This window comes from Homo sapiens, chromosome 17, assembly GCF_000001405.40.
Source record: "Homo sapiens chromosome 17, GRCh38.p14 Primary Assembly".
Lineage (NCBI taxonomy): Eukaryota > Metazoa > Chordata > Mammalia > Primates > Hominidae > Homo > Homo sapiens.
This window is the reverse complement of record NC_000017.11, coordinates 62,264,497-62,290,652: the sequence shown is the minus strand read 5'-3', so window position 1 is coordinate 62,290,652 and position 26,156 is coordinate 62,264,497. Positions and strand designations below refer to the sequence as shown.

Genomic DNA, 26,156 nt, shown 5'->3' with positions numbered 1-26,156 from the left:
CTTTAAAGGGAAAATATTCTGTTTTTAGTCATTGACTGACAAAGGATGGGAATGGTAGATAAAAAACAAGTGAATTCAGTTTACACATTTATAGTTCCTTAAAATTTTCAAGTTGCTGCTTTGAGTTTGAGTAAAAAGAACAACTTTCTTGCATAGTTAGTAGCACAGGCTTTCATTAGTCACCAACATTGGCTACTCACTGACAGAGCTACCTGTATATTCATAGATTTACACACTGGCATGCACATTCCATTAAAAACTTTTTAAGTGTATCTTTTCCCATCAAGTTTTGTGGCAACGTTGTTAGCTGCCTTTGTATTAAAATGAATAGGCCGGGCGCAGTGGCTCACGCCTGTAATCCCAGCACTTTGGGAGGCTGAGATGGGTGGATCACTTGAGGTCAGGAGTTCCAGACCAGCCTGGCCAACATGGTGAAATCTGTCTCTGCTAAAAATACAAAAATTAGCTGGGTGTGGTGGCACGTGCCTGTAGTCCCAGCTACTCAGGAAGCTGAGGCACCAGAATCAGTCAAGCCCAGGAGGCGGAGGTTGCAGCGACTCAAGATCACATCACTGCACTCCAACCTGGGGGACAAAGCCAGACTGTCTCAAAAAAAAAAAAAAAAGGAATAAATTACTCTGACAGTTGTTACAATTTAAGAAAGAATTGTAATTTCTAATGTTTTAAGTATAAGAAATTCCATTGTTTCTGAACTTTAATTACTTCTGTAGATGGTTGAGTATAATTTTACTTCAAGTAGGTAATTGAGGGATAAGATTATTCAAACCAAGTGACTTTAAAGTCCTCAATATGAAGAGTAGGAATGGTTTTAGAGCCAATTACAGGCATGTGCTGCAAAAAGATGTTTGTCAACAAAAGACCTGTATACAGCAGTGGTCCCATAAGATTATAATACTGTATTTTTAGTTGTGCCTTTTCTATGTTCTGACATGTTTAGATACACAAATACTTACCATTGTGTTACACTTGCCTACAGTATTCAATACAGTAACATACTGTACAGGTTTGTAGCCAAGGAGAGACAGCCTATACCATACATAGCCTAGGTTTGTGTAGGTACACTCTGTGATGTTCACACAAAGACAAAATCACCTAATGATGCATTTCTCAGAATATAACCTCGTCGTTAAGCGGTGCATATACTAAAATTAACTAGATTTTAAAACTTCTGATTTAGGAATAAGATGTCTTTAAAAAAAAAAAAAGCAATCGAATGGGTGTAAATTAGATAGATAAGAAATTAACACATTCGTATCTGTCCTTCCAGTTCGCAACAAAGATATGAGTTGGCCTGAGGAGATGTCTTTTATATCAAATAGTAGTAAAATAGATAGACACAAGGGTAAGTCTGCAGTATTATTTTTTAAAGAGATTATTTTAAATGTATTCTTTTTTTTTTCTTCTCTCAACTATTAAAGTGCTAACAACTTTTGGTTTTCTAGTTCAAAAGTAATTAGGGCCTTCTTCTTTTTCTTTTTTCCTGAAGCAGCATTTGATGTTGGCAAACCCACCATCAAATTATTTTCTAAATTTCTTTCTAACTCTGCAATTAAATAATTTATATGTTTTAAAAGACATACTAGAAGAAGAATTGTTTGAATTATTTTGAAAAATCATAGCAATTAAAAAGAATAATTGCTGCTTCTGGGTTACAAATGAGCATGGATCATCACTGTTGCCAGACACTCCATGAAAAGCCTTCTCTAGCATTTCAAAGACCTGCTAGAGAATTATTAGCACCATTTAGCTGATTATGAGAGTTATAAAAAACCTTTTCATTGAATATAAGTAACTGTTTGTGCCATGGCATATTACTACAGCTAAGCTTTGGTTCTCATACCAGTTCTCACAGAAAAGGGAGCCACAGGTCTAAGCAACCTGGGAAACACATGCTTCATGAACTCAAGCATCCAGTGTGTTAGTAACACACAGCCACTGACACAGTATTTTATCTCAGGGAGACATCTTTATGAACTCAACAGGTAATCTTTCTGGAGTCAGTGGCCTCTTAACCTGTGACTTTGATATAAACCCAATATCACCTAAATTTCCTCTTTTTTTACCCTGTGGGAGAAAGATTTTATCTTATTTGCCCTATTTAATATGAAATAGGCCAAGGAATACATCTCTTGTTTCAAAAAGAAAAGATATTTTGATGTGAGATGCTAGGCATTTTTGCACCCACATGATTGTGATTTATGAGAATCTTTGGCAACAAATTTTCCTCTCAGACTTCTAGGACAAATCCCATTGGTATGAAGGGGCATATGGCTAAATGCTATGGTGATTTAGTGCAGGAACTTTGGAGTGGAACTCAGAAGAATGTTGCCCCATTAAAGCTTCGGGTAAGCAGGTTAAAATAATATAAAAGTATTTAATTCCTAATAGTTGTTTAATCATTTTTCTCTACTTGTTTTTTGTGTTTAGCCTTTTAGCTTAATAAATGTTTTTGGATCCTTCACTTGGTATAAACAAAAGGTCAAATTCTTTTGCTTGTTTAAATATATGCAAAATACTACTGTATATGTAGTGGGTAGGATAAAGACCAAAGGTACACTCTAAAAGACCAAAGGTACACTCGGGATGTCATTCATTTTACTAATTTGTCAAACATCTTATATGAAGAGTAAACCTTTTTTGGTAATACTCCACTATTAGCAGTATTCTAACTGCAAGGTGGACCTCAGAGTCTTATTAATTACATCCAATCCAATCCATTTTCAACATAACTAAGATAGTTCTATCTGTAGAATACAAAGAAGTAGGCTGGGCGCAGGGGCTCACGCCTGTAATCTCAGCACTTTGGGAGGCTGAGGTGGGTGGATCACTTGAGGCCAGGAGTTCAAGACCAGCCTGGACAACATGGCGAAACCCTGTCTCTACTAAAAAAAATTAGCCGGGCATAGTGGTGCATGCTTGTAATCCCAGCTACTTGGGAGGCTGAGGCATGAGAAATGCTTGAACCTGGGAGGTGGTGTTTGCAATGAGCCAAGATCGCACCACTGTACTCCAGCCTGGGCAACAGAGTGAGACTCTGTCTCCAAAAAGAAAAAAAAAAGTAGAAGGATGAATGAATGAAACTAATGAATATAAGTTTTATATTAATATTAGATGTAGTAGATTTTAGTGAAGTTAGGATTATTCATTATTTTTATTTAAATACAAAGCAAAAGCTTTTTATATTACAAATTATTAACTATAACAGCTACACATTTGACTACTTACCTCTTGCCAGGCACTATTCTAATTAATTTATATCCTCAAAATAATTCTATAATATAATGCAGTTAATAAAAGTTAGGATGCAACAAGACCAGAAAATGTAATTGTTGAAGACAACATTATATTATATAAAATACTATATACACATATTATTTTATACATGTTATGTATTATTATATACACATTATTTTATGCATATGTTATGTATATACTATGTACCTATAAAATATACATATTTTATATGCATATAAAAATGTAAAACGTTATAGAACAGGATGTCTTTCAATGTGAGCAAATGCTGTTTTAATATTTCTGTCTTAAATAACATCTGTGTGCCTGAAGAACAGTTTGCTTACATGATACTGAACTGAGGACACAGTATTGCACAGTATTGGCCAAAATACTTCTCTTTTTTGGAGGGGGCGGTCATTTGACATTAAGATTCAAAAGATTTCATGATTATCCAAAATATATTTGTTGAAATAGAGGCAGACTAAGTACTATACTATTTATTTTCTTACAATGGCTCTGATTGGATTATAGGACATGTTCATTCCAAATTTTATGGGTAGGAAATAATGACTGTGACTTCTCTTATATTTATAGTGGACCATAGCAAAATATGCTCCCAGGTTTAACGGGTTTCAGCAACAAGACGCCCAAGAACTTCTGGCTTTTCTCTTGGATGGTCTTCATGAAGATCTTAATCGAGTCCATGAAAAGCCATATGTGGAACTGAAGGACAGTGATGGGCGACCAGACTGGGAAGTAGCTGCAGAGGTTTGTCAGTTTTGAGTTTCTAATGTAAGCAATAGACAAAATGTTCTGGCCACAAATACATGTAGCACAACTTAAATGCAAACTCAACTATTCTGAGATCAGAACTTTACTGCAAAAATGAATGAATTTCTATTTCTGTGCTTAATTCTTATGCAGTAATGCCAAAACAAAAATACGTTTAATGAAAATAGAAAACTGTTGCCATTTCATATTGTAAACTTTATGGGACTGGATGTAGGAATAATTATCCAGTGGAATTTAAAGAGTCCCCATAATTGCTAAAGTAATGGATACAGTGACCTATAGGCATGCTTTATACTTGTTAATGGACAAATAACTTTAATATTTACCATTGTTACCTTAATAAGAACAAATGAAAAATAGGATTTTCCATCTCAATTTAATATTTTATGTTAAATGAAGAGTAAGGATTATATTCTTTACATTTAAATCCAATATATTTAACTAGTTTCTTTGAATTTATATAGAAATGCCTCTCTTTTGGATTTTGAGAGAAAATTCTCATCTTTTTTATTGCTAGGCCTGAGACAACCATCTAAGAAGAAATAGATCAATTGTTGTGGATTTGTTCCATGGGCAGCTAAGATCTCAAGTAAAATGCAAGACATGTGGGCATATAAGTGTCCGATTTGACCCTTTCAATTTTTTGTCTTTGCCACTACCAATGGACAGTTATATGCACTTAGAAATAACAGGTAGGTCAGAAAGTTCTGAAAAATTACTTGACTCCATTAAATTTACTTTATTTAAATAGCCTGAGTTTGTAAGCGTAGTTATTTGCTTACAAATAAAGACCGGTAGTCAGCATATTATAATCGAGCAACCTAATTTTAGGCATGACTTGAGGTTTGAAAGATGTAGATTGGGGCATGTTTTTTTGGTTTCAAATATGCCAGCAACTCTCTTTAAAATCCTGCAAAGCCACTGATACTTTTATGTCAGATGAACACCAAAAAAATACTGATTTCACTTAATATTATCCCTAAGTACCATCTGTTTTAGTGTTTACACATAAAATAAAAATTCTAGGCTGAAATATTTGCTATTATATTTACAGGTCAGATATATCTGTACACAGCATTTAAGACTTTCAATGAAACCTGCATTTTACCGATAAAAGATCTTTTCTCTTTACTAGTGATTAAGTTAGATGGTACTACCCCTGTACGGTATGGACTAAGACTGAATATGGATGAAAAGTACACAGGTTTAAAAAAACAGCTGAGTGATCTCTGTGGACTTAATTCAGAACAAATCCTTCTAGCAGAAGTACATGGTTCCAACATAAAGGTAATATTAACTACTCTAAGAAACTTTTGATTCTATCCTTCAAAGATGACATTTTTCTCAATTATTATGATCAATTGTTAGGTTCTGTGACCAAGAGAGATACTAAAACATAACGAAAACTGAACAACAACAACAACAAAAAACGCCAAGTTTTCCAACCCAGAAACCTAAGAGTTTTCTACCAGAATAAAGGGATAATACTGATGGTGGTATTTTTGAAGAAGGGAAATATGTAAGGCTGCCTATATGGAGTGTTCTAGCTGTGTCACTATAGTATAGGTTTCCACCAAAGACTGCTGCTGTTACCAAAGACTGCTGCTATTAACCCTTGACAACTCTTCTGTATTACCGCTGTTACTAGAATTCTTCCTAGGTTAAAGTATTTTATGTATTTATGAATGTGTGTTTTTAGTATTTATGAATATATATACTTGGTCTTTTAACACACTAAGAAATTAAGAGTAAAGACAAATTGACACCAATCATGTCTTTCTACATACCAGCTGGGGAAACAAATAATCTAATAAATATATTGCCTACTCTAAATTAAGCTCCTGCAACTGGTATTATTTATATTCATCTTTGGGATTTCTGAACACACTCTCACCTCATTGACAGTTTCTTAATATGAAATGCAAAAATGGAGTCTCTGAGGGTTGGAATTTAGATCCCTGAAACGGACAAAACTGAAGTCAGTCATATATAACACACTTCTTCCTGTGAAAAGAGATAATAGTTCGAAAATTGAGGTTAGTTTTCTGTTATTTTTATCAAGCATTCATCCTTTATGTAGTTGAAAAATTATTCAATCATCTCGTTGGTTTTAAGAATGAAAGCGCCTAAGACATTCTTTTGAAATATGTTAGAGAGAGAACTTTTCCATTTTATCTGAAACATCTCCCCCTTCTCATCTTGCTTCTGTTTCTGTAGAACTTTCCTCAGGACAACCAAAAAGTACGACTCTCAGTGAGTGGATTTTTGTGTGCATTTGAAATTCCTGTCCCTGCGTCTCCAATTTCAGCTTCTAGTCCAACACAGACAGGTAAGATAGAACTAGAACTCCTTCTCATGATTGCTCCTTTAAATATTTGTCTAAGAGTTGTCATCTTTTTTATATTTGTTCATGCTGAGGATATTATAGCGGAAGAATTTTGGAACCCAAGGGAAACCTTACTGATTATTCCATATTTTTTCGACGAGAAACCTAAAATTTAGAGAACCCAAGTGACTTCAGTTAGATAGGTAGTCGTTAGCTAATATACCCTTGGAATTCAGATCTCTTTGAACTTGTATCTAATACTAACATGGCAACAGCTAGTATGAGAGGAACATACTACCAGAAAATATAAACAATAGATATAGCTAGAAAGAAATCCAATATTATATGTAATTTAATGTGGTCACTCACTGAGTCCTTTTAGCCACTAGTATGCTTTGTCTATTCTTTATATTACTTACAATTAGGTTAATTAGGCTAATTCCCCAACTATAAAGGGCTTTATGAGGCTCCCCTCATTGATGTGTAGTAGGTAGATAGTCCTGACGGTGAGTTGGTGGATGTTCTAATTTTAGTTTTAGTTTAGAGCATCACTGTCCAATAGAATTCTGCAGTGGTGGAAACTTCTGTGATCTTTGCCATCCAATACAGTATCCACCAGTCACGTGGACTGTTAAGCGCTCGAGATGTGGTTAGTGTGAGTGAGAATAATGCATTTTTAATTTTTATTTAATTTAATTTATTTATTTTGAGAAACGGTCTCACTCTGTCACCCAGCCTGGAGTGCAGTGGCATCATCTTGGCTCACTGCAGCCTCTGCCTTATGGGCTGAAGCAATCCTCCCACCTCAGCTTCCCAAGTAGCTGGGACTACAAACGTGTACCACCATGCCCAGCTATGGTGTATCTTTTGTAGAGATGGGTTTTCACCATGTTGCCTAGGCTGGTCACTAGCTCCTGGGTTCAAGGGATCTGCTACCTCAGCCTCCCAAAGTGCTAGGATTACAAATGTGAGCTGCCTCATCCAGCCTAATTTAAATTTTAAATGCAACATCTGGGTAGAGGTTACTGTATTAAACAGTGTCTTCAAAGGCGAAGAGAAGGAAAAGAAAACAAGTGGTAGAACTGTTTGTGTGCTACAACATGGTGCCGATACAGGTTTCTGCAAAAATTCTGCTTAATAGTTTCCAGCAGTTACTCTTTCCTTTTCATTTGGTCAAAAGTGTGAGTTAGGGAAGTAAAACTGGAAAATTAAAATCTTCCAATAAATCTATAATTATTTATACTGTGATTTCTCCCTGCCCTGTGTTAAGAGACTACACTGTCTCTGGTCCTCAGGATACTTGAGAAAAGAGCAAAGATGAAAATACCACAAGCTTATGATGCTGTACTTATCTTTGAATTTGTAGATTGCTCCTCTTCACCATCTACAAATGGAATGTTCATCCTTACTACCAATGGGGACCTACCCCGACCAATATTCATCCCCAATGGAATGCCAAACACTGTTGTGCCATGTGGAACTGAGAAGAACTTCACAAATGGAATGGTTAATGGTCACATGCCATCTCTTCCTGACAGCCCCTTTACAGGTTACATCATTGCAGTCCACCGAAAAATGGTTAGTTAAATGTTAGGCAACTCACTGCCAGTCTTGCTAGTGTCATTTGTGAAATAGTCATTTGCTGTCTTTGCAACATCATTGAATGCATTTTCTTCTCTTCTTTTCTTTAATTTTTTAAAATTTAATAATTTTACAAATTTTATTTTTTTACTTTTTTACCCTGTCCTCAAAATCTGTTGCTGTGAATGCATTTTCAATGTATTATATATGCTAATATAAGTGATCAGAGCCAGGATTTAGTATTACTCATGGTGGCTAATGTATGAAATGACATTCCTTATCCGTATATTAAGAGGCAACAGGATAGACAGTGCATCTGAGTACTACTTTCTTTAAAAATTTGTGTCTCCTGGCCGGGTGCAGTGGCTCACACCTGTAATCCCAACACTTTGGGAGGCTGAAGCAGGAGGATCACCTTAGCTCAGGAGTTCAAGGCTAGCCTGGGCAACATAGTGAGACCTCGTCTATTCCAAAAAAAAAAAAAGACTTTTTTTTTTTTTTAACTAAGCAGCCATGATGGTGTGTGCCTATAGTCTCAACTACTCTGGAGGCTGAGGCAGGAGGATCACTTGAGACTAGGAGGTCAAAGCTGCAGTGAGCCATGCTTGCTTGCTCCATGCATTCCAGCCTGGGCAAGACCCTGTCTCAAAAAGAAAAGAAAAAGAAAAAAAAGAAAGAAAATGGTCAGGTGCGGTGGCTCACACCTGTACTCCCAGCACTTTGGGAGGCTGAAGCAGGGGGATCACCTGAAGTCAGGAGTTTGAGAACAGCCTGGCCAACGTGATGAAACCCCATCTCTACTAAAAATAAAAAAATTAGCTGGGCATGGTGGCATGCACCTGCAGTTTCAGCTACTTGAGATGCTGAGGCAGGAGAATTGCTTGAACCCAGGAGGCAGAGGTTGCAGTGAGTGAAGATTGCGCCACAGCACTCCAGCCTGGGTGATAAAGTGAGACTTTGTCTCAAAAAAAAAAAAAAAAAAGTATCTCCTAAGCCAGGCATGTTTAGGAAGATCCCTTGAGGACAGGATTTTGAAGCTATAATATGCTATGATGCTCACACCTGTAAATAACCACTCCACTCCAACCTGGGCAATAAGTGAGACCTTGTCTCTAAAAAAATTAGAAAAAAACAAAAACCAACACACACAAAATTTATGTTTCCTGTGTGTTTGTGTAGGTATGTATATCTTCACTGCCACATAAATGCGGATGGCTTCGGAAAAGTTTTTTGTTTTGGGGTTGGTTTTTTTGTTTTGTTTTGTTTTTTTTCTTAGAGGATACAAGAATGTTCTTGAGGAAAATCAAGTTGTGCGTAATTCCTCTCTTGATAGTCTAATATATAACTATTGCATTAAAGGTTGACTCTTTGGTAAAAAAGAAAAAGGAAGGTTTGAAAACTGTGGTCAGTGGATAATTGTTAAAGAGGTAGTCTTCGGGTATAGTGGCAACTTGGTAGAGTAGAAAGGGCACTGAACTAGGAATTTAGCAACCTATGTTTTAGTTCTAATTCTGCCACTAGATAGCTGATTGAGCTCTTTGGACTTTAGTGTCCTAATTTTATAAAGTAAAGGAAAGGCCGGGCACAGTGGCTCACGCCTGTAATCCCAGCACTTTGGGAGGCCGAGGCGGGTGGATCATGAGGTCAGAAGTTCGAGACCAGCCTGGCCAAGATGGTGAAACCCCGTCTCTATTAAAAATACAACAATCAGCCAGGCATGGTGGCACACGCCGGTAGTCCTAGCTACTCAGGAGGCTGAGGCAGGAGAATCACTTGAACCTGGGAGGCGGAGGTTGCCATGAGGCAAGATCGTGCCATTGCACTCCAGCCTGGGCGACGAGCAAAACTCCGTCTTAAATAAATAAATAAATAAAATAAAGGAAAGCAGGGCTTCTAGATCAAGTAAATTGATTGTATAGCAGCAACAAGAGAAAATGAAATTGTAAAAAAGGTACTGTATTGGTTTCCTAGGACTGTTATAACAAATTACCATAAATTTGGTGGCTTTAAACAACAGAAATATATTCTTTTTTTTTTTTTTTTTTTTTTTGACGGTCTCGGTCTGTCGCCCAGGCTGGAGTGCAGTGGCGCGATCTCCACTCACTGCAGCCTCCGCCTCCTGGGTTCAAGCAATTCTCCTGCCTCAGCCTCCCAAGTAGCTGATACTACAGGTGCACGCCGCCATGCCTGGCTAATTTTTGTATTTTTAGTAGAGATGGGGTTTCACCATGTTGGCCAGGATGGTCTTGATCTGACCTCGTGATCTGCCTGCCTCGGCCTCCCAAAGTGCTGGGTTTACAGGTATGAGCCACTGCACCCGGCCCAGAAATTTATTCTTTCACCTTCTGGAGGCCAGAAGTCTGAAACTAAGGTTTCTGTAGGGTGGGGGCTTCCTCCAAAGGTTCTAGGAGAGAATGCTTTCTTGTCTCTTCTAACCTCTGGTGGCTCCAGGCATTCTTTGGCTTGTGACTGCATAACTGCAATCCCTGCCTCTTCATATAGCCTTCTCTTTCTCTCTGTCTTTCTCTGATAAGGATACTTATTGAATTTAGGGCCCACCCAGATAATCCAGGATGATCTCATCTTGACATCCTCAACTTAATTACATCTACAAACATCCTTTTACCAAATTAGGTCACATTTACTGGTTCCAGGGGTTAGAACATGGATATATGGATATACTGTTTTAGAGGCCACCATTCAACTCAACTACAGATATTATTTATCTTAGTATCAAAAAAATTAAATGCTGAGAAAAAATTAAGTACCTAGGAATAAACTTTAAAAATGACACATAAGACATCTATATAGAAAATAAAATATTGATAGAAATTAAAGAAGACTTAAATATTGGAAGGAATAAACCATGTTCATGGATTAGAAGACTCAATATTTTAAGATATCGGTTCTCTACAAACTAATTTACAGATGACTTAATGCACAATCCCAATAAAAATGCAAAGTCTGCATGTGTGTGTGTGTGTGTGTGTGTGTGTGTGTGTGTGTGTGTGTTTGTGTGTGGTGTGTGATTTGATAAGCTGATTCTCATATGTGGAAATACAAAGCACCAGGAATAACCAAGATACTCTTGAAGAAGAATAAGATATGAGGATATCATCAAGATTGGATATCATCCAGATATCAAGATTTATTTCACAAAGATATGATATTTAAAATAATGTCATATTGGTACAAGAAAAGACAAGTAGACCATTGGGATAGAAGAGAGAGCCCAGAAACCAGTTCACAAATGTATGAACACCTGATTTATAACAAAGATAACATTGCAGAGAGGTGAGAGAAAGATAGTTTTCTCAGCAAGTGGTGCTGGGACAATTAGATATCCATATGAAACTTGGCACCTACCTTTCACCACAATTCCAGGTGTTCTATAGAGCTAAATTTGAAAGCAAAACAATGAAACAGCCCTTGGAAGATAATACTGGTAAATACATTCCTGAGGCTACTCATATAAAAGAAAAGATTAAATTGGACTTCATTAAAATTGATAACTTGGCTGGGTGCGGTGGCTCACGCCTATAATCCCAGCACTTTGAGAGGCCGAGACGGATGGATCACAAGGTCAGGAGTTCAAGACCAGCCTGGCCAATATGGTGAAACTCCGTCTCTACTAAAAATACAAAAATTAACTGGGCGTGATGGTGGGCACATGTAGTCCCAGCTACTCGGGAGGCTGAGGCAGGAGAATCACTTGAATCCCAGAGGCAGAGGTTGCAGTGGGCCGAGATTATGCCATTGCATTTCCAGCCTGGGCAACAGAGCGAGACTCCGTCTCAAAAAAAAAAAAAAGTGATTAACGACACTAGTAATCAGTGAAATGTAAATTAAAACAATATTAGGATATCAGTGCACTCACCTGAACAGGTAAAATTAAACAGACTGACAGGGTTGCTAAGTAGAGCAACAGGAACTCTCATACCATGCTGATGAGAAAATAAATTAATACAACTACTTTGGAATACAATTTTCTAGTTAAGGATAAGCAGTTCTACCTGTAGGTATCCACCCAAGAGATATGTGTACTAGGAGATATGTACAAGAATATTTGTAGCACCATTATCTATAGTAGCCCCAAAATGAAAACATTACATGTCCATTAGTTGTAGAAGGGATTGGGAAGTTGAGATATATTAAGATAATGGAACATTATACAGGAATGAAAATGAATGGATTTGTAGTTATATCGAGTATAAATGAATCTCGTAAACCTAATGTTGATGGAAAGAAGCCAGACACAAAAGAATTAGGCTAGGCACGGTGGCTCACACCTGTAATCTCAGCATTTTGGGAGGCTGAGGTGGGCCGATTGCTTGAGCCCAGCAGTTTAAGACCAGCCTGGGCAACATGGTGAAACCCCATCTCTACAGAAAATACAGAAATTAGCCAGCGTGGTGCCACACACCTGTAGTCCCAGCTACTCGGGAGGCTGAGGCAAGAGAATCTCTCAAGCCCAGAAGGTGGAGGTTGCAGTGAGCTGAGATCACACCACTACGCTCCAGCCTGGATGACAGAGCTAGACCCTGTTTCAAAAAACAAAAAACAAACAAAAATGAATTAAGTAATTCTATTTATAAATATAAAAACTTTTAAAACAGGGAAAATGAAATCTAGTGTTTATTTACTTGTGCATAGGATATAAAACTGTAAAGAAAAGCAAGAAAGTGATTACTGTAACATTTAGAATAATAGTTACCTTTGTGAAGAAGGGAGAATTTGTGATTTGGAGGAAGCAAATGGGAGGCTTTTGAGTGCTCGCTATATTCTGTTTCTTAAACTCAGTGATAATGGAAAGCTAGTTGCTTTGTGATAATTATTTGAAATGTACTTTTTTTTTTTTTGCAATGGAGTTTCACTCTTGTTGCCCAGGCTGGAGTGCAGTGGTTTACAGGTGTGAGCCACCACACCTGGTGGGCAGGCCAAGATTTCTATGTTAACTTTGTCTATCACTAAGCTCAAAAAAAAAAAGAGAATTCAGGGCAGGGAAGGTGGGAAGCCCTGGGGGAAGGGGCGGCTGGGAGGAGGCCTCAGCCCCAGGGGAGCTGCAACATAGACTGAGACCCTCACATGTTTGGCTCTGTGTCCCCACCCAAAACTCATCTGGGATTGTAATCCTCCTGTGTCAAGGGAGGAATCTGGTGGGAGGGGATTGGATTTGGGGACAGTTTCCCCCGTGCTGCTCCCCGGATAGTGAGGTAGTTCTCAGGAGAGCTGATAGTTTCAAAGTGTGGCACTTACTGGTTCTCCACTCACTCCCTCCTGCCGTCTTGTGAAGAAGGTGCCTGCTTCCCCTTCCCCTTCTGCCATGATTGTAAGTTTCCAGAACTGCAAGTCAATTAAGCCTGTTTCCTTTATAAATTACCCAATCTCAGGTATTTCTTTACATCAGTGTGAAAACAAATGAATACAGTCCCCTTCCCTGAGGTGCCTTCCCCTTAGGCAACCAGCTGCCCCCATGCTCCTCTTCTGCCCCCTGGTATTTCCTTTCCCCTCATGAGGCCCAAGTGATCCACATGGCCAGCACCAGCCCCATCCTACTGCAGGCCTGTGTGGCTGCTGGAGAGGCCAGGCTCCTTTCCGCACCCCGAGGCTGCCCGATATGCTTTCTGGATCCTGTAGAAAACTGACCCACTATTCTCATACCGGTGCAACTTCTTCTAATACCTCAAAAATGGACAATGTGAACTTATCTTGTTTCTTGTCTCTTCTTGCTAGGGCTGTCATTGGGACAGTCCGAGATGGGGGAGTGGGGGGAGACAATGGATGAATGGATGGATGAATGGACAGTAGTCCAGGGAGATGTCCCTGTGTGTCCTGAACTGGGCCCTTCCTCCAATGAGAAGCCTTCCTGAGTGAGTTTCTACAGTCATCCCTTGGTATCCATGGATTAGTTCTAGGGTCCCCGGGGATGCCAAAATCCATGGATCCTCAAGTCTCTGACATAACATGGCCTAGTATTTACATATCAGCTATGCACATCCTCCTGTAGACATTAGACCATCTCTAGATTATTCAGGATGTGTAATACAATGCAGATGCTACATAAATGGTCGTGATACTGTATTCTTTAGGGAATAATGACAAGAGCAATTCAATAGAAACATAACCGTCCAATTTATTTTCTGAATATTTTCCATCTGCTGTTGCTGAATCCACAGATGCAGAGCTCCTGGATATGAGAGCCAAGTGTGCTTTGAGAGTAGGGTGGGTGAGGTTGCTAATGAGTACAGGGGAGCAGGTGTTGATCAGGAGGACCCTGCACTGGGGCATCTGGACGTACTGCCTCAGGACTTGAGACTCCAGTTGGATGGCACAGGCAGACTCGGCACAGGCAGACTCAGCCCAGGTCAAAGCCGTCCCCTTGAAGTTTCATTTTATCCCAAGCTCTTTCTGGACCCTGGAATTTGGCATCCCCTAGGCCCTGCGTGGAAGGACAGATGAACCAGGTTTTAGATAACATGTCTAGAAGAGTGAGCCCCTACTGTGTGCCCGGCACTTTCCTCACAAGATCCTCTAGCTAGAATATCCAAGGGTCATGGAGAGAAATACCCAGTTAAAATATCAGAAATGAAAAAGCGATACCATTAGAGACACTAAAAAGACCATTAGGTAATAGTATTAGCTTTTGTATTCTGAGATCCAGCAGCAGCAGTCACTTCCCTCCACCCCTATGTGTATCCCAGGACCACCCTGGGCAGGGAGGGCTGAGGTTAGGGAGCAGCCATGGATGCTCTGATGCTGGCCCTGGGCCTCGGGGGTGACAGTGATGAGGAACTGGGTGCACACATGAGTGGGGCAGCCGGGCCTGGCCAGAGAAGCAACACACACGTGCACAGATGTGTTTACCCACATACACATGTGCACGCACATGCACAAACACATTGCAGGCAGGCATGTTGACGCCTCAGGCAGCGGAGGACCCTGACTCTGGGCACTGCTGACCCGGGCAAGGCCCCATTGTGATGCGTGCCATGACCTCAGAATGTCACTGGTGCTTAGCACCTATCCGCTCTCTGGCCTGCCTCAGTGTTCTACAGCAGTTACACACAGGCAGTGGTATCTGTGAGCAGCTCTGTGGACTCAAAGGTTTTCTCCCTGAGAGGCATGACCCAGGCCAGCTGATTCATCAGAATCAGGTGAGCGTGACCTGCTCTCTTCCCTCCAGGCGGACCTGGGGACAGTGGCCACGGTGCGGGCGGTGTTGGCCTCTGTGGGGCAGCTACTGAGGAGGGTCATCCCTGAGCACTCACCAGGCGCCCGTTCTACACTGCCCGTGTAGACGATTGGCTCTTTCGTCTCCATGGTGGCTTCGTAGAGTGGGTGCTGTTCCCAAATGTCCCCATTCGACAGATGAGACATCTGGGGTCAGAGAGGCAGTAACCGGCCTGGGAATCCGGACATGACCCTGAGTTTTGCTCTCAGCCCTGCTGTGTGCTGTGCTGGAATTCAGGCCTGAACCCTGTGACCTCCCTGCCCTAGATCCCAAATCTGCCCAGGTTTCCGATCCCGATGGGGCAGAGCCTGGTCCTGGCAGAGCCACTGGTATAGATCCACTGGTATAGATCCACTGACGGTCCTCAGAACACCTCTGTGCCCTAAGCTGGGTCCCGATGGTCGCTGTGGGCCCCACTGAACACACATGGTCCCTTGTCCGGGGGAGCCTGCTGCCCTTGGGCAGCCGTGGAAAATGAAGGAGCCCTGGAGGGCTGGCTGAGGGGAGACTATCTTCCCTTCTGTTCAAAGGGGTCCGGGCACTAGGGTTCTCCCCAGGCATTTCTTGCTCTGTGTGGTCCTCTTGAGGCCTCGCCCTCCTTTTGCCTCGAGTATTCCCAGGAGGGACAGTCCATCCAGGTGTTCTCCAGGACCAAGGACCCACTGTTCTTCCTCAGTGACCCAAGAAAATGAAGCCTCCTCCTGTTGGGACGGCTCAGAATGGTGGACTCCACAGTCCCTCCGCGAGAGACATGGTTTCCATGCGTACAATAGATCTTTCTCATCCCCCAAACCGAACACCCTCCTGCTCAACAGGCGTTATTCCTAAAGTGGCTTCACTGTTCAGACTGAAGAGCCACGGTAGCCAAAGTGATCAGCGGAGTAGAACCGAGCAGTCAGGAGAGATCTTGTTCCCTGTAGGAAACTGGGCATCTCTGAGGCCCTGAGCATCCCAGGAGGCCGATTGTACAGAGACCTCTGGTCGCTGACCCCAGTCTGCCTCCACATCCCTGGAATAGCCCATCATGGGCCCTTCACCCTTGGCAGGTGGAAACCATTCAACCTGCTGGGGCCGGTGTGTCCCCATTTCATGGCACTGGGGGACAACAGGATTCTCTGTCTAGGTCCCACTGTACTCAAGTCCTTGGGAAGATGCCCACCCCTGCTTGGGACTTGAGACTCCAGAGACTCGAGCAGCTGTGGGCCACTGGGTCTGGCCCCTTTTTCCCTGGGGGCGGCGGTGGAATGGGGGTTACGCAGCCAGCCAGCATCTGGGAGCCCGGCGAGAGCGGTTCAGGTGTTCTCCAAAGCCGCCGCGTACAGTGTAACCTTTAGACAATTTTGTCTCATAGGATGGACGTGGTAGAGGTCGCGGGTAGTTGGTGGGCACAAGAGCGAGAGGACATCATTATGAAATACGAAAAGGTACAAGTCGGTCTGCTTCTTGGAGGGAGGCCTCTTCCAGTGTGCCCTGGTCAAAGGGTCCTGGGCTCGCTAGGAGCACAGGGCAGGGACGGGTGACCAATGCCCCCAGGCCCTTGCACCCTTTACCTTGGACCCCTCACCAAGGCTCCCTCTGGGCTACAGGGACACCGAGCTGGGCTGCCAGAGGACAAGGGGCCTAAGCCTTTTGGAAGCTACAACAACAACATCGATCACTTTGGGATGCAGCAGTGAGTCCTCTGCACTCCCCTCACCCCTAAAGCACCTGTCTCAGCTCAGGGATGGGTTTGCTTTTAGAAAGGCCTTTCTGATGCAGGACATGTCTCACCAGGTCGGGTCAACCTCCTTTCCAGGGACAGAACTCCTCCCTGACTCCCCTGCAGGTCCAGCCCGAGGTTGTTGTTAGGCCAGAGGTGTGGGGCCCATCTAGGGAGCCGGTGGGAATGGAGACTGGGCTAGGTCAGGCCCCTGGGCGCTCAGCAGTTCTGTCGGCAAGTGAGCACAAGAGGAGCGGGGCAGCCTGAGGGTCTGGCCCTGTCTACTTGGAGACAACCCCGGTGAGATCCAAGGGTTATGGCCACAGGGTGAGGGGACGCCTGGCCCAGCCTCAGGGCTGTTGTCCAGCAGGTCTCTGAGGGCCCACCTGCCCCTGTTCTCCCCCATGCCCCTAGAGCTACAGCCCTCACTGTCCCGTGAGGGGAAAAGGCATGGTGACAATGGGGGCTGTAGCCCTAGGAGAACGGGGGGAAGATGGGCAGGGCCCCGCTCTGGGCATCTCACGGTGAGGCCGGGGAGGCAGCAGGGCTCGCGGCTAAAGACCTGGGTCTGGTGCTGGGAAGGGATCTGGGGCCTGGTAAGAGGAGCCCAGCCAGGAGCCCATCCCTCAGGGATCACAGGATGGAGAGACAGAGGATCCCGGGGGAGGTAGGGTGGGAGGGAGCTGATGAGCCGTGCCACTTCTGAAACGCAGGGTGTGTGGCTCGGGAGCAGGGAGAGGCAGGTGGATGCTGGGAGGTCAGAACCTGCAAGGGCCTTGGGGCTGTCAAGTGGGATGGGCCCCTGGTGCACCCAGAGTACACGGGGCAGGTCTCAGGGCAGGCTCCCTTGACCCTGGCGGGGTGATGTGGTCACTCCCTGAGGGACTCCTGTCAGGGCCCGGTCACCCACCCTGGGCGGCCCCCATCCCATCTCAGGGCTAACCTTTCTCAGCTCCAGCAGAAAGCACCACCTCGAGTCCAGGACGGGCAGCCCCACTGGGCAGCCTGACCGCCCCCCACGCCAGGGGCCCCAGTAACCCCGGCCAGGCTGTCCCTACACTCCTTCTTCGCCCAGGTCCTGCCCCTCCTGGGAGTCAGCCCCACAGGAAGGCCCTTGTCCTCCCTTCCCTGTGCCTTCTCCTGGGCTGAGCCCTGAGCTGGAAAGGGACAGAGCCAGTCCTTTCTGGGGGTCGGCACCCAGGCTGGGGCCGCTCCAGGCCCCGTGCAGTTCCTCAGCTCTGCCTGGGTTGCCTTACAGTGAGACGGAGCTGCCTCCTCTGACTGCGCGGGAGGTGAAGGTAAGAGCCTGATGCATGGAGGGGCTGGTCCAGGGACGTAGGGACTGGGCGGGTGGTCAGTGAGGCAGAGGAAGCAGCTGGCCTGAGCGGTGGCGGGAGAGGGCAACGCGCTGTCACTGGGAGGGGCAGCAGTCCCTGCTGGACCTGACCCCAGGTTGCTGTTAACTTTGGCAGTTTGATAAAATTCCAAAAGGAGAACCACAGTCCTGGCTTGGGGGTGGCTGCGCGCTTGTGTCAGGACCCCACCTAGAGGCTGGGACCTAAGACTGGTGTGGCTGTGGCCTGAGGATGGTACATCCCGGGGTCCCAAAGCCAGCCCACTGGTGCTCATTTGCTCAAAGGCTCTCAGCCCTTGAGGTCTGCCCTTCCCTGGCTCCTTCCAGCTGGCTCCCACCAGGGCTCCAGAGCCCAAGACCCAGCATCCGCGGGCGGCTCTGGGAAGCCTGGCAGCTCTGCTAACTCCAACATGCCTCATTTGACAGCAAATTCGGCGGGAGATCAGCCGAAAGAGCAAGTGGGTGAAAATGCTGGGAGAATGGGACACCTACAAAAACAGCAGAAAGGTAATGTGTGGAGGGAGGAAGCACTCTCTGCAGAGACAGGGGACAGGCACCCATGGCTGTGGCCTGGCGCCGTCAGCCTCTCAGAGGGTGGGTGGCACGCTGTCCTCGCCCAGAGGACTGCAGGCCTGGTCGCCAGATTTCCTGCCTACTCGTGCAAGCGTCACCTTGCTGGGAGGGAATCTGAATCTAGGGCTGGGACTACCCGGAGCTCAAGGCTAGGGATGCCCTGGTGACCTGAAGGAAGGAAAAGGTTCAGATCAGAGTTTCGACTCTGAGTGTCCATCCACTCTTTCAGTCCTGGGAAGGGAGACCCTGTCCCAGCTTGATCTCACCTCTACTGAGGAATCACGGGGCCAAAACCAACAATTTCCAGAATCCCCGGGCTCTGGTCCTCACTGGGGTCACCCCGTGGCCTGCGACACCAGATTGTTTTCTGCCCACAGCTCATAGATCGAGCGTACCAGGGAATTCCCATGAACATCCGGGGCCCGATGTGGTCAGTCCTCCTGAACATTGAGGAAATCAAGTTGAAAAACCCCGGAAGATACCAGGTACACTCAGCCAGAGCACAACCAACAGGACAGGCCGTGTCAGGGGCCCAGGTCTCCAGCTGGAGGGAACGTCAAGACCACCCTGGGGAGCTGGGGGTGAAGGTCAGTTGAACACCCTGGGCACAGATGGTGACACAGTCACCACAGACAAACTCAGCTCTGGTGACCCTCCCTGGCTTCAGTAACAAGCCAAAATGCAGCTTTCTGCAGAAGGAAACCTTCCTTCTGTCCTTCCTTCCCGAAGTGCTGACTGTGGGCTGACTGCCACTGGGGGCAGGGAGTCTTCCATCTGTTCTGAGACTGCTTCCTCCTCTTGGCCCTGCCCTACAGATCATGAAGGAGAAGGGCAAGAGGTCATCTGAACACATCCAGCAGATGGACCTGGACGTAAGCGGGACATTAAGGAGGCATATATTCTTCAGGGATCGATACGGAACCAAGTAAGCCTACGGGAGCCACAGGGTCCCAGCAGAGATGGGGTGAATGAGAGGGATGGGGGCTTCCCCGGAACAGAAGCCAGGGTCACCCAGGAGGGATGACACAGCTGCCAAGAGCTCTCCTGGCCCAGGGAGCAGCCGGCACCATGAACCGAGCACCTCCCTGGTTCCAAACCCTGGGCCAGACTGGAACATGTGGGGCCAGAACCCAGGAGGATCCTGAGGAGATGGAAGGCAGCAAACAAAATCATGCACAATGGTGAAAGGTGCTCTCCCTGACCCATGGGGACCCATGGTAGGAGCCACGGGAGAGTGGCAGGATAGAGGGCCCATGAGCCCCCCCAGGCAACAGTGACAGCACCAAATGCTGGGAGAATTAGGGGTCCTGGAAACTCTCATCCAGGTCTGCTGGGAACATGACATGGCACAGCCACGTTGGCAGCCAGTTGGGCAGTGGCTCACAAAGCTCGATGGACTTGAACCACGCATCCCCAAAGTGTCACAGAGATTGAACCCACTGATTTGGAAACTGACATCCACATGAAACCTGCATGCCAGGTTCACTGCTTGACTCCTCGTCACTCACACACGGAGCCTTCGGGGACGGCCTTCAACACGGGAATGGGTAGAGCAAGGCTGGTCCTCCCTTCAAACGGAAGACCCAGTGAGAAAAGGGAACGAGCCAGTGATGCCCGCACGAACGTGGGTGGATCCTAGATGCATTTTGCTGAGGGACAGAAGCCAGACCCAATAAGCTACCACAGTAGGATTCCCATTCCTAGGCCATTCTGGAAAAGGCCAAACCACAGGGACTGGGAAGCAGTCTGGGTGGCCAGGGGCTGACGGATCGGGGAGAGGCTGGGTGCATAGGGGCCACCCTGGAGACTTGGAGGATGAAGGAGTCGCCCCAGGAGGGGCTGGAGCGGTGGCCGGGAGACTCTGCACATTGGTTTGGAACCGTGGAGGAACTGTACACCCACAGACCGAATTGGTGTGTGTGCAAACTGAAAAAAAAAAAAAATCATTCAGAGTGAAAAGGATCAGGCAAGTCACTGTACAACTGGGCTATTTGCATGTCACAGATGTGGATTTTACTGAAACATTTCTTCAAGAGTCTCAGGCCCTGAAGAGCTCACTGCTTATCTGGTGAATCATCTGAACCTGAAATGGGATTTGCTGTTAGGCTTTGTAGACAAAGTGAAATTAACAACATCTGCACAAAACAAACCAAAGCCCCCTTTCTCTGTTTCCTAGGCAGCGGGAACTACTTTACATCCTCCTGGCGTATGAGGAGTATAACCCGGTGAGTATTCCCGGCAGTGAGGTTCCCGGGCCATATTTCCATATTCACAGGAGTGGGTGTCTGGTGGGGGTGTCGTTGCTTCTTTTAAAATTAGTATTTGTGACCCACCAGGATATAGGAGGTAGGATGTGAGCTCACCGCTGGCATAAACCTCCAAGGAAGGGGGTGGTCTCAAGGGGTCAAGCTGATACACAAAGGAGTCAGGGCCTGGACTCCTGGTGTCACCTGGGCCTGACCACCACTTCTCAGAACAAGAAATGACGCCCTCCTCCTGGGGCTGCCCCAAAGCCCAGGAGCTTGGCAGCATCGCACACAGGATGGTGCTATCAGCAGACATTTTGGACAAGGTGCTGAAGTGCCTGATGGACTTGGCTCTTGTCATGAAATGAATGTGCATCCTGAGGAAGCCTCTTTTTCAGAGGAAGCCTCTCCTTCAGAGGAAGCCTCTCCAGTCACCTCTGCCCTCTCCAATGACATGAGTCCTCCCAGGTGACCTCAGCCCTCCCAGCTGATGTCCTTCCATGGTGACTCTGGCTCTTGCAGGAGGTGGGCTACTGCAGGGACCTGAGCCACATCGCCGCCTTGTTCCTCCTTTATCTTCCTGAGGAGGATGCATTCTGGGCACTGGTGCAGCTGCTGGCCAGTGAGAGGCACTCCCTGCAGGGTAAGTGAACAGCTGCCCCGGGGACCTCCTGCAGCCAGACCTGGGGATGGCCACCCTGGCCAGGTGATCACAGCTTTTAGCCAAGGCACCCTCCTTGTGTCGCCAGCTTGTTGGGAGACTTTAGGATGTCTCTGCTGAGGGTCCCACAGGAGTCCACGGCTGACCCCCAAAGCCCAAATCAGACGCCTCTCATCCCCATCAGCAGAGGGCATCTCATCCTCCCCGTGGCCACCCTCTGTGTCCTGGAGCCACGCCCTCCGGCTCTGATTCTGTGCAGCTGACTCTCCCCTCCCTGAGAGTCCTCCTGCCCTCCAGCTGCCCGGGCTCCTGCCGCCATCGGTGCCCACGAATGGGCCGACCAAGCCCAGGTGGCAGCATCTCCCCATCCCCTGTTCCCTGGCCCGACCCCACTACCAGGAGATGACCAGGAAGCCCAGCACCCACCCAGTTCCGGCTGCCCTGTGGTGGCCTGAAAGTCAGGCTTGCCCTTTTTGCACCCTGGCCCAGGAGGCCTCCAGGGGAACCTCCAGCCAGGCTCCAGGGAATGTTCCCGCCCCACCTCCCCAGGGTAAAGGCCGCATGTTGGGGTCACCAGATGGGAGGGTGGGAGGCCTTGGGGTTTGGGGGCCTCTCCAGCTGCCCAGCTCTTGCAGCTGATGGCTCCACATCTTGAGGGAAGGCTCTGATTTCACGATGGGCTGGGGGCTTCTCAGGATTTCACAGCCCAAATGGCGGGACCGTCCAGGGGCTCCAAGACCAACAGGAGCATGTGGTAGCCACGTCACTACCCAAGACCATGTGGCATTAGGTGAGTTTATGGTCCCCTCAGCTCTTCCCAGAGGCCCTGCCTCCCGTGGGGCTGTAGGAGCAGGGGGGCTGGAGCCCCTCGTGGGGCTGGTGACTGGCTGAGTCCCAGCCAGGGCCTGACCTGGGACGTCGGGTTCTCCATGGGCTGGGAGTTGGTTTCCTTTCCTGCCCTGGAGGAGACAGAGGCACAGGGATGGGGGCCCAGCTCCCGCAGAGCAGCGCAAAGGGCAGCGTGTCCACCGGGAGTGTGGGAAGGTGACAGTGTTGTGGGGAGCTCTGGACACCGCCCAGTGTTCTGCATTAGGGGAAGGGTCTTCAGAGGCCCTGGAAGAGGGAGGTTTTTAGGGCAGCCCAGTGGCCTGAGCACCTCTGTTGCTTCCATCAGGACAAGAAAGATCTATGTGGGCAGTGTTCGTCCTTAGGCTGCCTCATCCGGATATTGATTGATGGGGTAAGGAGGCATAGGGAGACCCTGGCTCAGGGACCCTCCTTGCCCTGCAGTGCCCTGCTTCCCCAGCCCGGGGGTCTGGCTCACTCCCAGCCCACAGGAGGCTCAGGCGGGTCCCCAAAGGACACACAAGCAAAACCCTCTGCCCAAGAGGGGTCATCCCAGGGCAATGGCTGGGGCTCAGGCCCAGCCTCATGGGCAGACTGGGCCAGGACCCGACTTGAGAGGGCTCAGGGAAGCCTCAAGCCCTGGGCAAGCCCCTCTCTCCAGGAGCCACATCCCCACTCAAATGAGTGCCCCCCATGAGGAGCTTCAAGACCTTGTCTGACCCAGCGTCCTGGAGGGCTCAGGCGACCCTCATGGGGAAGGTCACTGACTCTGGAGACTGAAGCCCCAGTGTGCGCAGCTCGAGCCACCAGCCCCAGCCTGGAAGGACCAGGTTCTTTCACACCTGCTGTCCCCACAGATCTCTCTCGGGCTCACCCTGCGCCTCTGGGACGTGTATCTGGTAGAAGGCGAACAGGCGTTCATGCCGATAACAAAATCGCCTTTAAGGTTCAGCAGAGTAAGTCTACGTGTGCCCAGCGGGGCCTGGGGAGCCCTGGGGTCAGACCCCGACTGGCCCGAGGGCAGCTTCCTCACACTGTCCTCATGATCCTCTGTTCTGGCCCAGAGGGAGGTCTGGCCAGGTGGGCTGGGCAGGACACTGTGACACTGAGCCCATCCCCCACATGACCCAGATGAAAGTCGAGAGTGTGGTGAGCACTTCCCTGTCCAGATCGCCCCCCAGCCACAGTCTCCTGTGTATATCTGGACGCCTGGGGTGGCCACAAAAGGATCCGGCACCGCCCAGTGGGAGACTGAAGTGGCCACGGGGTATGAGCTGTGACCATTCCCAGGTAACTCCCCTGGCCTGATATCCACCCTGTCCCTAGAGCGCCTCACGAAGACGTCCAGGTGTGGCCCGTGGGCACGTTTTTGGAACCGGTTCGTTGATGCCTGGGCCAGGGATGATGACACTGTGCTCAAGCATCTTAGGGCCTCTATGAAGAAACTAACAAGAAAGCAGGGGGACCTGCCACCCCCAGGTGGGCTCCAGTGCCATGTCCCCTCCCATGTCACCCTCTGGGGTAGTCAATAGTAGGGGAGTGCCCGGGACCCGCAACCCTACTACCTGGGCCTTCCTCTTCACCTTTTCTTCCTCCTCTTCCTCCTGGACTCTAAGAAAGTACAGGAGGCCCACCGGTCCTCAGGGCAGGCGCTCAGTGCGTGTATACTGGACATGCTGTGCACGCAGGAGGGGGATGTGGGCGAGACCCTCCAACAAGCCCCCTCCCACTTTCTGCGGTGTCTCCCTCTCCCCCTCGCAGGGCCCTCCAAGTTACTAGCCGAGCCCAGACCCATTTGTGGGAGACCCCGCCCCTCCCTGCAAGCACCCACAGCCTCAGAGAGCAGCAGAGGCCCCTCACTCCTGCACGCTCCTCCAAGCTTGCCAGGACAACGAGCCTGGAGCCAGGGAGACAAGGGAATCGGTGTCCCTGACCCACGGAGCTTTCAGGGAGAGGGCGCAGGCGGGACCCCGGGCCCAGGGCCAGAGCCAAGCGTTCAGCCAGAAGTGGGAACGGTCAGTCCTGGCATGGACTGGGCAGCCCAGGAGGGCAGAGGGTGACCCACGTCCGGGCCCAATCACCCACTGCGGAGAGGGGTCCCCACCTGAGGTGGCAAGGGGCTGGGTGACATCCAAGGCCCCTCCCACCTGAGTTCTGACTGGGGGCCGTATCCCAGGCCCAACAGCCCTGGGACGAAGGTGTGTGGCAGGAAGCCGCCAGCCAGTCTGAACCCTGGGGGCAGTCCCAGGAGCCACCCGCCATGCCACGACAGCTTCCCCACGCCAGGCAGCACGCACTCCTCCCTCTGGGATCAGCAGACTACAGGCGTGTCCTCAGTGTCAGGCCACGGGGGCCACACAGAGACCCCGAGGACTCCAGAGACGCAGGCAGGTGGGGCCCAGCCCGGAAAGGCCTGCGTGGGCTCACTGGAGATGCTGACCGCGTCTGTTTTCCTTTCAGCCAAACCCGAGCAAGGGTCGTCGGCATCCAGGCCTGTGCCGGCTTCACGGGGCGGGAAGACCCTCTGCAAGGGGGACAGGCAGGCCCCTCCAGGCCCACCAGCCCGGTTCCCATGGCCCATTTGGTCAGCTTCCCCGCCACGGGCACCTCGTTCTTCCACACCCTGTCCTGGTGGGGCTGTCCGGGAAGACACCTACCCTGTGGGCACTCAGGGTGTGCCCAGCCCGGCCCTGGCTCAGGGAGGACCTCAGGGTTCCTGGAGATTCCTGCAGTGGAACTCCATGCCCCGCCTCCCAACGGACCTGGACGTAGGGGACCCTTGGTTCCGCCGTTATGATTTCAGACAGAGCTGCTGGGTCCGTGCCATATCCCAGGAGGACCAGCCGGCCACCTGCTGGCAGGCTGAACACCCTGCGGAGCGGGTGAGATCGGCTTTCACTGCACTGAGCCACAACGTGGGCATGGACTTCCCGGCCCTGCAGTGCACCCAGCACTGATTCCGACCAGGGCACCCCCTTCAGAGCTAGGGACGAACAGCAGTGTGCTCCCACCTCAGGACCTTGCCTCTGCGGCCTCCACTTGGAAAGTTCTCAGTTCCCTCCAGGCTTCTAGAAGCATCTGGGCCAGGGCTCATGGCTGGATAATTTCCCTAGGCTTAACAACCCAAGCAAGCTTCGCCTCCTCGTTTTATTTTTTGTTAAACTTATGAGAATGTATTAAGAAAGAGTGCAGCTCGAGAGACATTCAGAGATGGAGCACACCAGACCCCAGATCACAAAGCCAACCATGCCCAGCCCCTCCCAACACCCCCAGCCCCACGACCATCGTTCTGAATTCTGACGACACCGTGAGCCTGCCTTTGTACTTTAAACTCATGGAAGGATAACCACCTTCACGTTTTGAAATAAATGTTTCCTGTTGAAATGATTTTAGATTTTAGACAGAAATATTGAAAAGGCACTATAGTGTCCTATACCTTCCATCCAGCTGCCCCTAATAATGATGTTTTGCAGTCCCATGGCACATAAGAAATTTAGGCCGGGTGTGGTGGCTCACACCTGTAATCCCAGCAATTTGAGAGGTCAAGGCGGGAGGTTCAGGTTCACTTGAGTCTAGAAGTCTGAGACCAGCC

The 26,156-nt window shown here is 47.9% G+C and overlaps 1 long non-coding RNA gene and 2 pseudogenes across 3 annotated transcripts; 2 read left to right on the top strand and 1 right to left on the bottom strand.

The window, feature by feature from the left end:
• Positions 1,864-7,956, top strand: USP32P4 (ubiquitin specific peptidase 32 pseudogene 4; annotated as a pseudogene).
• Positions 14,063-14,978, bottom strand: LOC105371853 (uncharacterized). The gene is made up of 2 exons (XR_934896.4): positions 14,841-14,978; positions 14,063-14,393 (listed from the first exon to the last, which is right to left on the bottom strand). It is a non-coding gene; the product is annotated as an uncharacterized LOC105371853 (long non-coding RNA).
• Positions 14,979-14,997: 19 nt separating this feature from the next.
• Positions 14,998-25,951, top strand: TBC1D3P2 (TBC1 domain family member 3 pseudogene 2; annotated as a pseudogene). 2 transcript variants are annotated; one of them, NR_027486.2, is made up of 14 exons: positions 14,998-15,108; positions 16,537-16,609; positions 16,772-16,857; positions 18,143-18,182; positions 18,665-18,745; positions 19,189-19,296; positions 19,627-19,683; positions 20,988-21,036; positions 21,580-21,700; positions 22,414-22,508; positions 22,893-22,958; positions 23,422-23,520; positions 23,891-24,043; positions 25,025-25,951. The product of NR_027486.2 is annotated as a TBC1 domain family member 3 pseudogene 2, transcript variant 1 (transcript). The 2 variants fall into 2 exon arrangements; NR_174974.1 differs by having other exon boundaries at positions 19,627-19,736.
• The last annotated feature ends 205 nt before the right edge of the window (positions 25,952-26,156 follow it).